The sequence below is a fragment of the Homo sapiens genome, chromosome 6 (assembly GCF_000001405.40).
Source record: "Homo sapiens chromosome 6, GRCh38.p14 Primary Assembly".
In the NCBI taxonomy this organism is placed as follows: Eukaryota; Metazoa; Chordata; class Mammalia; order Primates; family Hominidae; genus Homo; species Homo sapiens.
The window spans coordinates 65,616,776-65,633,920 of record NC_000006.12 but is presented as its reverse complement, the minus strand read 5'-3'; the positions used below and the strand labels follow the sequence as shown (position 1 = coordinate 65,633,920).

The window sequence follows — 17,145 nt, the reverse complement described above, 5'->3', positions numbered from 1 at the left end:
ACTGAAGACTTTGGGACCATGTGACCTTTCTCCCAACTACTTACCTTTGCCATTGCAGCGGGAAAACAGCCATAGACAATATGTAAATGAATGACTGTGGTTGTGTTTTAATAAACTTTATTTACAAAAGTAGGAAGGACTCCAATTTGATCTGTGGGCTTTAGTTTGCTGACCTCTGCTCTATAAAAGTGTGAGAAATTGGAAAAGGGCCAGTTTGTGGCTTTGAGGGTAGGTATTTCATAATTATAGTAGATGTATTCTAGGCAGCTACTATTAAGCAACACTGATTATCTCAGTAAACTGTAGAGGGAGAAGCACTGAATAATGGACAGCTTCACCACTTAATACCAGTGTGAACTTGGGCAAGTCACTTATCCTTCCAATGACAAGTTTTCTCATCTATAAAACAGAGACATTAAAACCTACTTCGCCTACCTCTACAGATTAGTGGGAGAATTAAATGAAATAATGTGAAATAAAATGAAAATGCTTTGAAAACTCTCTGGTATTCACAAGTATGTGGTACTTCAGACTTGGCACAAAATGCATTCTGTAAAATACATTGAGCTTTTCTTTCCTCTTTTTTACAATGTCTTTTCATATAATTACAAAATGAAATATAGCACACTGCAAGAAGGTAAAGTGTTACCATTGTAGCCTAACCCTGCTTAGAAAAGTGGTGAGAGCAAAGTGAACTCAGATGTGAATTACTAGAAGATCTAAGTGAGAAAGCATTAGATATACAAAAGTCAAAAAATAAATCTTATGATGGATAGTTCAGAGAAAACACAACCCTAACAATGCAATGATTACGTTGTGGTAGCAAGAAAAATACTTTATATAGTATCTTTATATGAGCCAACCTTTTTGACTTCTCATTTACTATTAAAAATACTATTTAATAAATTTCTGTAGATAGACATATTTGCTGTGTAACATTGAGGCTTTTATTTTATTAATTACATAAGCTACATGGAACACAGATTCAAGGGCCCTCAGTTATGGTCCTCAATTTATCCCTATTTACTAGTATCCTCTGAAATTCAGGGAAAGTTATTTAACTTACTTGGGACTCAATTTCTTCACCTATGGAACATGGAAGTTAAACTAGGTATCATAAGATAATCTTCTAGTTTTTCAATTCTTTGTTTCTACTTGAGAAAATATAACTTACCTAGTGGTATATATTACATTCTTATAGTCATCCAAGTAGCATAATAAGTTATTAAGGAATAACTAATACATTTATAACACTGTTCAGAATGCATATTTCTTCTGCTCAAAAACCACACAAACAGCAACGCTGACCTTTCAATGGAAAATGAGGATAGTAATTGATATGCTAACCTGTAGCATAAAATGAAATTTGGAATATGATAGAGCATGAATAATAACATGCTCACCCGCACCAAGGGAGCTCTTTATACTATAGGAAAAAGAAGAAAATTTGTATTTTTGTCTTTATAGAGTTAGTGAGTATAAGTGCGGATTTCTTACATGCATACGTTGTCTAGTGGTGGAGTCCAGGCTCAGAAAAATTTTATTAGACATTGATTTTGAATTTTATTTGAGTATTTACACTTCCAAAATGCATTAACTTGTCAAGTGGAAATCAGGAACATTCATCTGTCTACTGATGAACGAGCAGAGAAAATCTGGTACCTATAAAGCATCCAGATAAGAATATAAGTACAAAGCATGCAGTTGCTTTGCATTCAGCATTGTAACAGGCACTTTCATAAACTCCTCATGAGCTCATTTTGCCTACTTTTTATTGGTTCTGTCCATAGAACTTTCAGGATTTTTTTTTGGTTTTTGGCAGTTAAGTGTTAGGCTCTGTGGCAAGTTTGAATCCCACTTCTATTACGTTAACAATTGTGTTACCTAAGACATATTGTTTACCATAATCTTTCTGTCATTAAATTTCCTCATATATAAAGTAGGAGAAGTTGTAAGAGAATTAGAGTGATGTGAGAACTAAAGAGTGTCTGCCACATTGTACATATTCAGTGACTTTAGCCACTAACTGAATTATAACCTTTCTTTCCATTCATTATTCTCTTTTATGCTTGGGAACTCTAACATCCATAATAATGGACTTTCTAAAATTTGGCCTCACAGTTCCTGGAACACCTACTAGTAAATTTTACTTATACTCTACTCGAATTATCCATAGGCACATTAGAACTGCTGACACAATCTTATTTGCATGTTAAAAAAATTTATTCTCCCTCTATGGAAAGAAGACTTGCAGATTATGAACATGAAAGAGAAAAATCAATTACAAGTCTTTTATAGTAAATCAGAGTAGAGATGACAGTATTTGTGCTTGTTCAGTCATAATGAAGTTGTAGAGAAACAGAGATCAGACTAGATTTTTCAAGTAAAACTCACCTCCCACTTGCCCCACAGAGGGAAAACAACACAGGATTTTTTTTTTTTTTTCCATTCATGTTAGGTGTCCATTATAGCCCATCTGGTGTATATGCCATCCTCATTCAAGGACCAAAGCTAATATTACTTTTCACAGTAGCTGGAGGAAATAACACACTGGAGGATATCATAGTGGATTAAGTACTTTGGTCCAGAAATGATATGCATTCTTCCACCCCACCTCACGGACTGAAACTCACCACCCAGCCCCATCCTCCAGACAGAATTCAGGAAGTGCAACTACCTTGTGTCCAGAAGGTGGGCTGGAGAATGAGGATATTTTTCAACAGCACAAATAATGGTCACATCTGTCTTCATTGTCACCAAAAACTTGGTTGATCCTCTTTTTTACAGGGGTCTCCCATTAATCACAGTAATTTATTCCTGCGAATTAGAGGTTTATGTGTGAAAATACTAACAAGTAGCCTATTTCTTAATAATTTAAATGAAAAATATTCCTAATGAGTTACACATCAGTCAAATATTTACAACCAATATATTACTTTTTAAAATGCATTAAAGAATACACATTATGAACTATTGCCTAAGTATATAAATTGCTTACATCTTTGGTTCTTAACTACCAAACAATACGGTTGTTAACAAGCAGTTCTTTTGCATTCAGTAAGTTTTCTTCCATTGATACAGCTTTTCTCAATAATTTTTATACAAATTTCTTTATTGTTTGGAGGACTTGTTTTACTATTTTAGACAAGTACTATAGAAATATAAAAAGTAATGTGGCAAGATGTTCAACACAAGTACAAAGTCACAGAGAATATTTTAACTGACAATGACACTGTGATGTGCTTCATATAAGAATGGTATTTCTTTTGTTGATACTCTGCAAGTTTTCAAGATATCTGCATATGATTTAGAAGTTCTGTCAAATGTATTTGTTATGCAACCTGAGACTTTCACATATACCGGTTTTGCTAAAATATTGCTGTTGAGTTTTTGAAATTTTTTTAGATAAATATTGGTCAAAATATTTACATTGAGAAATATGTAAGTTCTACTAAGTTTGGATAGAAAAAGCAGAAAAATGCTCTATTAAGAAAATATTAATGGAGAAGATGTTCCATAAGGTGTAACTGTTTACTTCTCCTGTTTCTCCTGTTTCCCCAGGCGGGGGGAACACAAAGTCCCAAGCAATCTTAGTATCTAACTAAAATCCGTGAATCTAGGTAATGTGATAGTCTCTAAATGAAGTCTGGATGTGATTCCTATTGACCTAAGTGTCAATGATCCCCTTTCCCCTACCAAATATTACATAGTGAAGCAGACACAAGACAACCACAGTGACCATTTTGACATGGGAAGAACAGGAGATATAATGGTCATTGGTCAACAGCAATTCTGAAATCCAGCTGTGTGGAATTTATGAGGTGCTTTTACACTGGAAGTGTATTCCTTGATTAGACCCTAATTTCACTTCCTAGGATTAGCAATCCAGTTCTGTACCTTGTTCTCCATCATCCATGGGATTGACCTTTGGGAGTTCTTTAACTTTCTATTATCCTTCTTGTCTTCACTTAAAGAGGGAATTTGAGAATTTGTCTTCTCTGGAGGCTGTGCAGGATTTTTTTATAGGCTTGTTTTACATCTTTAGAATATTGAGGTCATTTTATTTTTTATTCCAGAGAGGTGGATGACTTAGTGGAATTATAGCCTCAAAAGGTTCATTGCCCATTGCCCTATGCACAAGACAAATCAATACACCAAGACATCAGGTTGCAGCAGAGAAGGAGGTTTAATTGTAGGGCCGCCAAACAAAGAGACAGGAGGAAACCTGAAGGCCGTCTTCTCGAGGAGTTTGAGGGTAGGGTTTTTAAAGGTTTTGGAGTGGACTGATGTGTGGAGATTGTTGATTAGTTGAAGAGTGCAGGGTGCAGTCATGAGACAGGGAGAAGAAGAAACTGCATTCTCATGCTGATTTAGTTCTCATGTGGGGTTTTCGGGTTGGCATCAGCTGTTCTGCTGGAATTCAGGATTCTTAAAAGTCTTATGATTCTAACTTCAGATATCCTACCTAGAAGAACAATGGACATGCAAATGGTCGATATCTAGTGACTTTGATTTTGGTTACAAGGAAGTGAATCAAATTGCAGCCTGACTAATGCATACTTGTAACTATATTTCTGTCCAGAATTCTTGTTAACCCTGTGATGACAGCTTCAGAATAACCCCCTTAAAGATTCAAGTCTTTTGTGTGTGTGTCATAACTTCTGGTTATAAAACATACTATTCTTTTAATGATATGACTCTCCCTTTAGATTTAATTTTGGGTACCTTGATCCTGCCAGGAATCTGTAGAACAGGCTTACCTTCAGTCTCATTTCCTTGCACTATTTGTTGAACTGAAAGGATTGACTGAGCATCATCTTAAACTACTGTATAGTTTTAACAGTGAGTGTGATAGTCATACACTTGACTTTACTGTGAATCTGAGTTTTGATTGACCTTTGCTGATCAAATCATTTCTCAATTTTGCTTTTTAATGGTTGTGGTTAAAAATGTGTTTCAACCCTACACACCCCTAAAATTCTAAACAATGCCATCATATTTTTGCATGAAAACCATTGAATTATTTTCCAAGCTCATCTCTTTCCTATAGTACTGTGTCTGGAATTGGTGGGTTCTTGGTCTCACTGACTTCAAGAATGAAGCCGCGGACCCTCGCGGTGAGTGTTACAGCTCTTAAGGTGGCGCGTCTGGAGTCTGTCCCTTCTGATGTTCAGATGTGTTCGGAGTTTCTTCCTTCTGGTGGGTTCGTGGTCTTGCTGGCTCAGGAGTGAAGCTGCAGACCTTCGCGGTGAGTGTTACAGCTCTTAAGGTAGCGCGTCTGGAGTTGTTCGTTCCTCCCGGTGGGCTCCTGGTCTTGCTGGGATCAGGAGTGAAGCTGCAGATCTTCGCGGTGAGTGTGACAGCTCATAAAAGCAGCGTGGACCCAAAGAGTGTGCAGTAGCAAGATTTATTGCAAAGAGCGAAAGAACAAAGCTTCCACACTGTGGAAGGGGACCCCAGGGGGTTGCCATTGCTGGCTTGGGCAGCCTGCTTTTATTCTCTTATCTGGCCCCACCCACATCCTGCTGATTGGTGGAGCCGAGTGGCCTCTTTTGTCAGGGTGCTGATTGGTGCGTTTACAATCCCTGAGCTAGATACAAAGGTTCTTCACATCCCCATTAGATTAGTTAGATACAGAGTTTCCACACACAGGTTCTCCAAGGCCCCACCAGAGCAGCTAGATACGGAGTGTCGATTGGTGCACTCACAAACCTTGAGCTAAACACAGGGTGCTGATTGGTGTATTTACAATCCCTGAGCTAGACATAAAGGTTCTCCAAGGCCCCACCAGAGCAGCTAGATACAGAGTGTCCACTGGTGCACTCACAAACCTTGAGCTAGACACACGGTGCTGATTGGTGTGTTTACAATCCCTGAGCTAGATATAAAGACTCTCCACCTCCCCACCAGACTCAGGAGCCCAGCTGGCTTCACCTAGTGGATCCCGCACCGGGGCTGCAGGTGGAGCTGCCTGCCAGTCCTGCGCCGTGCGCTCGCATTCCTCAGCCCTTGGGTGGTCGATGGGACTGGGCGCCGTAGAGCAGGGGGTGGTGCTCGCTGGGGAGGCTCGGGCGCACAGGAGCCCATGGAGTGGGTGGGAGGCTCAGGCATGGCGGGCTGCAGGTCCCGAGCCCTACCCCGCGGGAAGGCAGCTAAGGCTCGGTGAGAAATCGAGCGCAGCATCGGTGGGCTGGCACTGCTGGGGGACCCAGTTCACTCTCCGCAGCCACTGGCCCGGGTGCTAAGTCCCTCATTGCCTGGTGCCAGCAGGGCTGGCCAGCTGTTCCGAGTGTGGGGCCGCCAAGACCACGCCCACCCGGAACTCCAGCTGACCCGGAACTCCAGCTGGCCCGCAAGCGCGGCAGGCAGCCCCGGTTCCTGCTCGCACCTCTCCCTCCACACCTCCCTGCAAGCTGAGGGAGTGGGCTCCAGCCTTGGCCAGCCCAGAAAGGGGCTCCCACAGTGCAGCGGCGGCCGAAGGGCTCCTCAAGTGTCGCCAAAGTGGGAGCCCAGGCAGAGGAGGCACCGAGAGCGAGCGAGGGATGTGAGGACTGCCAGCACGCTGTCACCTCTCAGTACCATTACAAATGCAACCATCACAAATTCTCTTTGTTAAACTTGTTCAACTTTTGACCTAAAGCTACAAGTTCACTGGGATATTTTCTCTCTTTCATGGTATCACAAGTGACAGTTTTATGTTTCACTCTTGCGTAATACAAATTGCCTTTCTTACAGCCTCCAGTAAGAGTTCCCTTGCTGTTTACTGCCCAGACTTAAAGTAAATACTGTGCATTTTATTGTCATTGTTACAGTAGCACCAATTTCAGGTAATCAATATTTATATGAAGATAAACTGGGAAAGGAAAGAGATGAAAGAAAGAGAGAAAGAAAGAGAAAGAAAGAAAGGGCAGAGAGAGAAAGAAAGGCAGGCTGAAAGAAGGAAAGAAAGAAAGAAAAGAAAACCTGAAATATATTGGTTTTTAACAAGACAGTTTTTTGTGTGTGTGTGTGTGTGTTTTTTTTACATAATATGCCCATTTCCATTGAGCCAGGGGCTCTCTGTTCTTATGAGTCCATACAATACATAAAACACTGCCGAGCACACACATAGTCAATATATATCTATTATTACTATTATTATCATTATTAATTACAACTTTGAGGCTGGGATATTTGTTACTATCTTTGAATTTGTTATTTTGCAAATTAGTCATTCCTCACTTTTGACCTCTTTACTCCATTCCTGGTCTGTATTCTAATCTACTCCTTATTCGGGTCCATGGCTTGTTTTAGGTAAACAAATACAATTGATTTCAATGATCAGAGGAGCTTTAATTAAAAAATTAGGGTTTGTTTAAAACAGATTCAATTATACAGGGAGTGGATTAAGGTTTAGTTTATTCATTGTATCTATCCCTGTATAGACTCTCACCCTTATCAGAGGGATCATGTGAGTTCCACAGTACATCATCTAGGCTTTTGGACATTCCAGACTTCCCAGTGATATGAGATTACTAAATGCATATAGAAGATAACAACAACAACAAGAAAACAAAGACTATGATCTTGGCCTTAGAATTCAAGCAAACTCTAGGTAGTGGCTCTGTTTTAGCCCCTAAATATGGCAAGGTCTGAGCCAGAAATGAATTTGATGAACTGTGTGACTTGATGAACTACAAATACAAGAACCAAATAATCACTGTGAGATTTTAGACCTCAAAAATCTCCCAGGACTGAATAGTCTGACTATAAGTGCTTTGTATCATCGTCTAGGAGGTTCAAAACGTGTATAGGAGATGATATTTGTGGAACCTCTTAGGGACTAAGAGACTATACACATCACTACACAGGCTTCAGTGATTTAGATCATGATTGCTACCTGGAAGCTGCTATCTGGAAGCTACATTTGAAAAATCTGCAATTAAAGGAAGGGAAGGAATAATTTCAGAACATCCACAGGAAAGTTCAGTAAAGATAAAATAGTTTTGGTAACTGAAAAATATTACATTTGCAAATGATTATTGCGATGTAGAATTCCAAGAGCAATTTTAGATAGACAATTGTTACATTTAACTTCAGGGACTACATTAAGAACCTTTTCTTGAGAAATTTGCCTTGCTTAATGGCTTTAGAGCTAAATGGAAATCATTGTCACTGTAATTTCAAATATAAAACAAAACAAAATAGTTTGATGCAAGTTTTCAATTTGCATATAAGCAATTGTGTTTAATTTTCAGAAACTTAACTCAAACTCGTTAAATTTCATTTATTCAGTAAACATAAAAATAGAAAACATGTATGTTATAATTATATGAGACTATTTCACAACCTCTCTTTGCCTAAAATATGCGGTATTATATTGACATTTTCACACCAGAACTTTCCTTTTGTTAACTGAGGCAAGTCACAAAATTAACATGTTTTTGTTGTTCATATTGGAAAGATTTAAAAGTAAGCAAATGAAAGCTGGATAAATTTGTAATTATCTGAATCCTCCATTATGCCTGCATTAGTTTTCTGTTGCTATAACAAATTGCCACAACCTTAGTGAAATAAAACAACACAAATAGATTATCTCACAGTTTCAAGAGGTCAGAATTTGGTGATTTCAGCTAGTTTCTCTGCTCCAAGTCTCCCCAGGAAGAAGTCGAAATGTTGACAGAGTACCATGGCTTTTCGGGGAATATAAGATAATCTGTTTCCTTGCTCGCTCAGATTGCTGGCAGAATTCAGTGCATTTTGATTTTGAGATTGAGGTCCCTGTTTTCCTTCTGACAATTGGCTTGAGGTCTTCTCAGCCTCTAGAGGCAGCCCACTTTCCCTGTATAACAGCCCCCTTCCTCTAGGTTGAAATTTTCTCAGGCTTTGAATTTCTCCCCTCCCTCCCTTTTCCAGAGCATCTGTATTATTCAGGGCTCACTAGAGGAACAACATTAATAGGATAGATGTGTATATAAAGGGGAGTTTATTAAGGAGAATTGACTCACACGATCACAAGGTGACGTCCCACAGTAGGCCGTCTGAAAGCTGAGGAGCAAGGAAGCCAGTCCAAGTCCCAAAATCTGAAAAGTAGGGAAGCCAACAGTGCAATCTTTAGTCTCTGGCCAAAGGCCCAAGAGCCCCTGACATACAGTAGTGTAAGTCCAAAAGGTCCAAAGCTGAAGAACTTGCAGTTCGGTGTTCAAGAGCAGGAACCATCCAGCACAGAAGAAAAATGAAGGCAGGAAGACTCAGCGGGTCTGCTCTTCCACCTTCTCCTGCCTGCTTTATTCTAGCTGCTCTGGCAGCTGATAGATGATGCCCACCCAGATTGAGGGTGGGTCTGCCTCTCCCTATGCACACTAACTCAAATGTTAATCTCCTTTGGCAACACCCTCACAAACACACCCAGGAACAATACTTTGCATCCTTCGATCCAATCAAGCTGACACTCAATATTAACCATCACAGCATCTTTCTGAATTCAGCTGAAAAAAGGCTCTCCTCCTTTAAGGACTAGAGTGATTAGACTGAAACTGTCTAATCCAGGATAGTCTCCTCATCATACCCTTCATCACCTCTGCAAAGTTTCTTTTAGCATGTAAGCTGACATATTCATAGGTGCAATATCAAGGGATTGAAGATTAAGGGGGCAAAACTGCCAACCCCAATACTAAGTCATTTTAAAATACAGGGTTTAATGTAAACATAACATTCCCATACTGATATCTATCAGGGGAACTTTTATTGCTTTTGTATAAGTTTGAGATTTCTATATAGCCACTAAGTGTGTCTCTTCTATGCCTAATATCATTATTTTAGAAAATATTTTCTCAGATTCTTGAACTGTAATATGAGATATTGAATTAAGTTGTAATGTTTACTTTAATTGCTGTTTGAGAATATCTGCCTGTCTGCCTATCTATCTATCCATCCATCTATCATATACTTACCTGTAGTTAATTATTTAGGAATAGGATGCATTAATTCCTGAAAGCAGAACATTCTTCCATGTGATTACTCCCTTGCTTCCCACTCAACATGAGCCTATGTTCAAGAAAGGTGAGTTATGCTAGGTTATACAAGAGAGACAGAGAAAATACCAATTGTCTTCTGTCTCACTTTATTCCAAAAGTAAACACTATGCACCATTTGTGACTCACTGGACGTCTACTGCATGTTAGACATCATCTAAGAAATGTACATACATTAGTTTTAATTCACAAAATAATTCCATGTTTATTTAACAATGATTCATATGTACATACTCAAGACTCTGAACTGAACTGATTAAATGGCAAATCCAGGCTAACCTTTTATCGCTTCAATTTTTTTTTCAAAAAGTTTTTACTGAATACCTATTATGTATTAAACTTTCCCCTAGGCACAACACTATACTAAAAATTTGTAAGTGTAAATTCATAAAAATTATTTATCTCAGCTGTCCTTTAAAGATAAATTTACTTATTATAAACAACTGTTAAAAATTACCCAAATTATTTTGAGCTGAAGCCACCTGAAATATCTGCATTAAATTTTAATGTAGTTCATTTCAAGGGATAAACATTCATTTTATATAAGCAGTTTAAAAATTAAGGCAAATGATTTTAAAATAATAATATATATGCAAAATGTTTTTCATGTTAGTTCCTCCTGGATGATGACTTCGCTGTCCCCTGCTTTCTACTAGGTTCCTATGAAAAATGGAGATTGAGAAAATTACAACCAAGTCTTTGGAGGTTATCCAGCAGGACATTGTCCATCAACTGCATCAGCTTGTGTGCCCAGAGCTCAGACTCTTTCTTTCCTCCCAATTCTGTAATTAGAAGTAAGGTCTACTGTTTGCCTGGCCATATCTCAAATTAAGGTATTAAAAAGGAGAATCACCAAGCTTGGAGGCCCAGGCCTACAATCTCAGTACTTTGGGAGTCTGAAGTGGGAGAATCACATGAGCCCAGGATTTTGAGACCAGCCTGGGCAACATAGACAGATCTCAGCTGTACGAATAATTTGAAAATTAGTCGGGTGGTGTTGTGCATGCTTATAGTTCCAGCTACTTGGGAGGGTGATGTTGGGAGGACCACCGGACCCGAGAGGTTGAAGCTGCAATGAGCTGTAGCTGCCCCACTGTACTCCTGCCTGGGTGACAGAGAGATACTGTTTCAAAACCAGAAAAAAAAAAAAAAGAAAGATTATTCCTATATAGTAAGAGATATTCATTAAAAATGTGGTCTTACTCTTGATTAACTCAAGAAATGCAACAATCTTAACAATGATAGTCTGCTTTGAAGTACGTTTTTCTCCAATGCAGTAATCCAAACCAGGTATCCCAAATATTTATTCTTATTATTCCAAGGAAAAATAATTTTAACACCACCATCCCATAAAACTGTTGTATAGATCTTAAATAAGAAAAAATATGCAAATTACTTACCATAATTGAATAATGTGTAAAAGAATGTAGCTACTACTATTATTTTAATAATGATAATATTACAATAATAATGGAAAACATGTCTAAGGAAAATTTGATTAATAGCAGAAGTAATTTTGAAATCTCTAAATCAGAAAATTTATAAAAAGTTGATGTATTTCAAGGTAATTTAAGTTGGTGCTCTAACTTATGGCTAACCTGATACAGAGCAACTGTTTTCAGTGTAGCCTGTAGAAATAAAGAAGAAAAATATAAAGTTCAAATTTCTCATCTCCAAAGGTTCTCCTCTGTGTCTAACCTGTGTGAAGAAAACAATGGATTAACCAACTGGGGAGAAGAGTGAGCCCCAGAGAGAATCAGCTGAGAAGGACAAACGATTCTGTCTCATTCTGGTCTCCATTTAGATATCCCTTTATTGCTGACATAAACTGGAAAAGTTGTTCAGTTAAATTTATAGACATCTCTGTCTTGTGCTTGGAGACTTGGGAACTGCTTATTTTTAGTTTTGTTTAGTTTTATTATTTTTTCTATAATGTGCCACAATATTTGCCACAAGGAAAGATTAGTGAAAGCATAACACCACAGCTTTATAAACACCTGTTAATTAACTCACTTAACTTCTCTTCATTGAATGCTATGATTATCTGTATTTGGTGATTCATCATATTAGAACTCAGTAAAAGAGACACATCAAGGAAACATTTAAAAATAAAAATTATACTTTACAGACAAGCAAATGCTGAGAGATTTTGTTACCACCAGGCCTGCCCTAAAAGAGCTCCTGAAGGAAGTGCTAAACATGGAAAGGAACAACCAATACCAGCCGCTGCAAAATCATGCCAAAATGTAAAGACCATCGAGACTAGGAAGAAACTGCATTAACTAACAAGCAAAATAACCAGCTAACATCATAATGACAGGATCAAATTCACACATAACAATATTAACTTTAAATGTAAATGGACTAAATGGTCCAATTAAAAGACACAGACTGGCAAATTGGATAAAGAGTCAAGACCCATCAGTGTGCTGTATTCAGGAAACCCATCTCACGTGCAGAGACACACATAGGCTCAAAATAAAAGGATGGAGGAAGATCTACCAAGCCAATGGAAAACAAAAAAAGGCAGGGGTTGCAATCCTAGTCTCTGCTAAAACAGACTTTAAACCAACAAAGATCAAAAGAGACAAAGAAGGCCATTACATAATGGTAAAGGGATCAATTCAACAAGAAGAGCTAACTGTCCTAAATATATATGGACCCAATACAGGAGCACCAAGTTTCATAAAGCAAGTCCTGAGCGACCTACAAAGAGACTTAGACTCCCACACATTAATAGTGGGAGACTTTAACACCCCACTGTCAACATTAGACAGATCAACGAGACAGAAAGTCAACATGGATACCCAGGAATTGAACTCAGCTCTGCACCAAGCAGACCTAATAGATATCTACAAAACTCTCCACCTCAAATCAACAGAATATACATTTTTTTCAGCACCACACCACACCTATTCCAAAATTGACCACATAGTTGGAAGTAAAGCTGTCCTCAGCAAATGTAAAAGAACAGAAATGATAACAAACTGTCTCTCAGACCACAGTGCTATCAAACTAGAACTCCGGATTAAGAAACTCACTCAAAACTGCTCAACTACATGGAAACTGAACAACCTGATCCTGAATGACTACTGGGTACATAACAAAATGAAGGCAGAAATAAAGATGTTCTTTGAAACCAATGAGAACAAAGACACAACATGCCAGAATCTCTGGGACGCATTCAAAGCAGTGTGTAGAGGGAAATTTATAGCACTAAATGCCCACAAGAGAAAGCAGGAAAGATCCAAAATTGACACCCTAACATCACAATTAAAAGAACTAGAAAAGCAAGAGCAAACACATTCAAAAGCTAGCAGAAGGCAAGAAATAACTAAAATCAGAGCAGAACTGAAGGAAATAGAGACACAAAAAACCCTTCAAAAAATTAACGAATCCAGGAGCTGGTTTTTTGAAACGATCAACAAAATTGAGAGACTGCTAGCAAGACTAATAAAGAAAAAAAGAGAAGAATCAAATAGACACAATAAAAAATGATAAACGGGATATCACCACCGATCCCACACAAATACAAACTACCATCAGAGAATACTACAAACACCTCTACGCAAATAAACTAGAAAATCTAGAAGAAATGGATGAATTCCTCGACACATACACCCTCCCAAGACTAAACCAGGAAGAAGCTGAATCTCTGAATAGACCAATAACAGGATCTGAAATTGCGGCAATGATCAATAGCTTACCAACCAAAAAGAGTCCAGGGCCAGATGGATTCACAGCCGAATTCTACCAGAGGTACAAGGAGGAGCTGGTACCATTCCTTCTGAAACTATTCCAATCAATAGAAAAAGAGGGAATCCTCTCTAACTCATTTTATGAGGCCAGCATCATCCTGATACCAAAGCCTGGCAGAGACACAACATAAAAAGAGAATTTTAGACCAATATCCTTGATGAACATTGATGCAAAAATCCTCAATAAAATACTGGCAAACCGAATCCAGCAGCACATCAAAAAGCTTATCCACCATGATCAAGTGGGCTTCATCCCTGGGATGCAAGGCTGGTTCAACATACGCAAATCAATAAATGTAATCCAGCATATAAACAGAACCAAAGACAAAAACCGCATGATTATCTCAATAGATGCAGAAAAGGCCTTTGACAAAATTCAACAACCCTTCATGCTAAAAACTCTCAATAAATTAGGTATTGATGGGACGTATCTCAAAATAATAAGAGCTATCTATGACAAACCCACAGCCAATATCATACTGAATGGGCAAAAACTGGAAGCATTCCCTTTGAAAACGGGCACAAGACAGGGATGCCCTCTCTCACCACTCCTATTCAACATAGTGTTGGAAGTTCTGGCCAGGGCAATTAGGCAGTGGAAGGAAATAAAGGGTATTCAATTAGGAAAAGAGGAAGTCAAATTGTCCCTGTTTGCAGATGACATGATTGTATATCTGGAAAACCCCATTGTCTCAGCCCAAAATCTCCTAAAGCTGATAAACAACTTCAGCAAAGTCTCAGGATACAAGATCAATGTACAAAAATCACAAGCATTCTTATACACCAATAACAGACAAACAGAGAGGCAAATCATGAGTGAACTCCCATTCATAATTGCTTCAAAGAGAATAAAATACCTAGGAATCCAACTTACAAGGGACGTGAAGGACCTCTTCAAGGAGAACTACAAACCACTGCTCAATGAAATAAAAGAGGATACAAACAAATGGAAGAACATTCCATGCTCATGGGTAGGAAGAATCAATATCGTGAAAATGGCCATACTGCCCAAGGTAATTTGCAGATTCAATGCCATCCCAATCAATCTACCAATGCCTTTCTTCACAGCATTGGAAAAAACTACTTTAAAGTTCATATGGAACCAAAAAAGAGCCCGCATCGCCAAGTCAATCTGAAGCCAAAAGAAAAAAGCTGGAGGCATCACACTACCTGACTTCAAACTATACTACAAGACTACAGTAACCAAAACAGCATGGTACTGGTACCAAAACAGAGATATAGATCAATGGAACAGAACAGAGCCCTCAGAAATAATGCCGCATATCTACAACTGTCTGATCTTTGACAAACCTGAGAAAAACAAGCAATGGGGAAAGGATTCCCTATTTAATAAATGGTGCTGGGAAACTGGCTAGCCATATGTAGAAAGCTGAAACTGGATCCCTTCCTTACACCTTATATAAAAATCAATTCAAGATGGATTAAAGACTTATACATTAGACCTAAAACCGTAAAAACCCTAGAAGAAAACCTAGGCATTACCATTCAGGACATAGGCATGGGCAAGGACTTCATATGTAAAACACCAAAAGCAATGGCAACAAAAGCCAAAATTGACAAATGGGATCTAATTAAACTAAAGAGCTTCTGCACAGCAAAAGAAACTACCATCAGAGTGAACAAGCAACCTACAAAATAGGAAAAAATTTTTGCAACCTACTCATCTGACAAAGGGCTAATATCCAGAATCTACAATGAACTCAAACAAATATACAAGAAAAAAACAAACAGCCCCATCGAAAAGTGGGCGAAGGACATGAACAGACACTTCTCAAAAGAAGACATTCATGCAGCCGAAAAACACATGAAAAAATGCTCACCATCACTGGCCGTCAGAGAAATGCAAACCAAAACCACAATGTGATACCATCTCACACCAGTTAGAATGGCGATCATTAAAAATTCAGGAAACAACAGGTGCTGGAGAGGATATGGAGAAATAGGAACACTTTTACACTGTTGGTGGGACTGTAAACTAGTTCAACCATTGTGGAAGTCAGTGTGGCAATTCCTCAGGGATCTAGAACTAGAAATACCATTTGACCCAGCCATCCCATTACTGGGTATATACCCAAAGGACTATAAATCATGCTGCTATAAACACACATGCACATGTATGTTTATTGCAGCATTATTCACAATAGCAAAGACTTGGAACCAACCCAAATGTCCAACAATGATAGACTGGATTAAGAAAATGTGGCACATATACACCATGGAATACTATGCAGCCATCAAAAATGATGAGTTCATGTCCTTTGTAGGGACATGGATGAAGCTGGAAATCATCATTCTCAGCAAACTATTGCAAGTGCAAAAAACCAAACACCACATATTCTCACTCATTGGTGGAAATTGAACAATGAGAACACATGGACACAGGAAGGGGAACATCACACTCTGGGGATTGTGGTGGGGTGGGGGGAGGGGGGAGGGATAGCATTGGGAGATATACCTAATGCTAGATGACGAGTTAGTGGGTGCAGCGCACCAGCATGGCACATGTATACATATGTAACTAACCTGCACATTGTGCACATGTACCCTAAAACTTAAAGTATAATAATAATAAATTTAAAAAATATATTATAAATAATACCATATGAACTTATTTTGCTAATTTTATATAATTTTAATTCAGGTCTCATTAAACATTTATCAATATACCTTGCTAATTTTATGTAATTTTAATTCAGGTATCATTAAACATTTACCAATAGATATGTGATAGAATGATAGAATAGTTTTTGAAGTCGTAACAAGTGAGTTTCTTTTTCTCTATTAATTTGCATTCTGACTGTCACTAGTAAACTAGATATTTTAAGTCCCTCATAAGTAAATCAATAGCTTCGTTCACAGGCTCTTGTTATATTGTCAACCTGCTGAATTAATATCAAATATAGATAAGAGGTGAAACAATATTTTTTTTCTCCAGGTCAACATTTCTTAGTTATACATAGGTTTCTAACACTCTTGATGTTTAATGAATATCTGCAGAAACAAGCACATTAAATTATTTAAAATCACCTGAACTGAAGATCAAAGAAAGTATAAAAAATATTTCTCCCTTTCCATAAAAATCCATGTCCTAATGTTAGAAATCATTTGTTGTAACTGCATATGATGTTTAATTTTTATTTGTTTTAATGTTTATACACATATTCAATACTTAATTCGTATAAATAAGCCAGGGAAATAATAACATTTTTAAAAGCTTCAATGTATTAGTTAGTCATAGTGATCAGTCACCAATTGAATTAAAAATATTGAACTAAGATATATACGTATTTATTTTTTCTTCGTTTTATTAGAAAATAAAGGCTTACTTTTTTTTTTTGTTTTTTTAGACAGAG

The 17,145-nt window shown here is 37.9% G+C and overlaps 1 protein-coding gene across 3 annotated transcripts in view, besides 1 other annotated feature; it reads left to right on the top strand.

The window, feature by feature from the left end:
* Positions 1-17,145, top strand: part of EYS (eyes shut homolog) — a 1,987,247-nt gene that overhangs the window by 73,306 nt on the left and 1,896,796 nt on the right. The window lies entirely within an intron of this gene.
* Positions 16,560-16,729: an enhancer, noted in NCBI's record as "experimental_93152 CRE fragment used in MPRA reporter constructs". NCBI's record gives its function as "activates a minimal promoter by MPRAs in K562 erythroleukemia cells, with activity observed for both the introgressed and non-introgressed 6:66327170 variant alleles {active_cell/tissue: K562}" and the evidence as "EXISTENCE:reporter gene assay evidence [ECO:0000049][PMID:34662402]".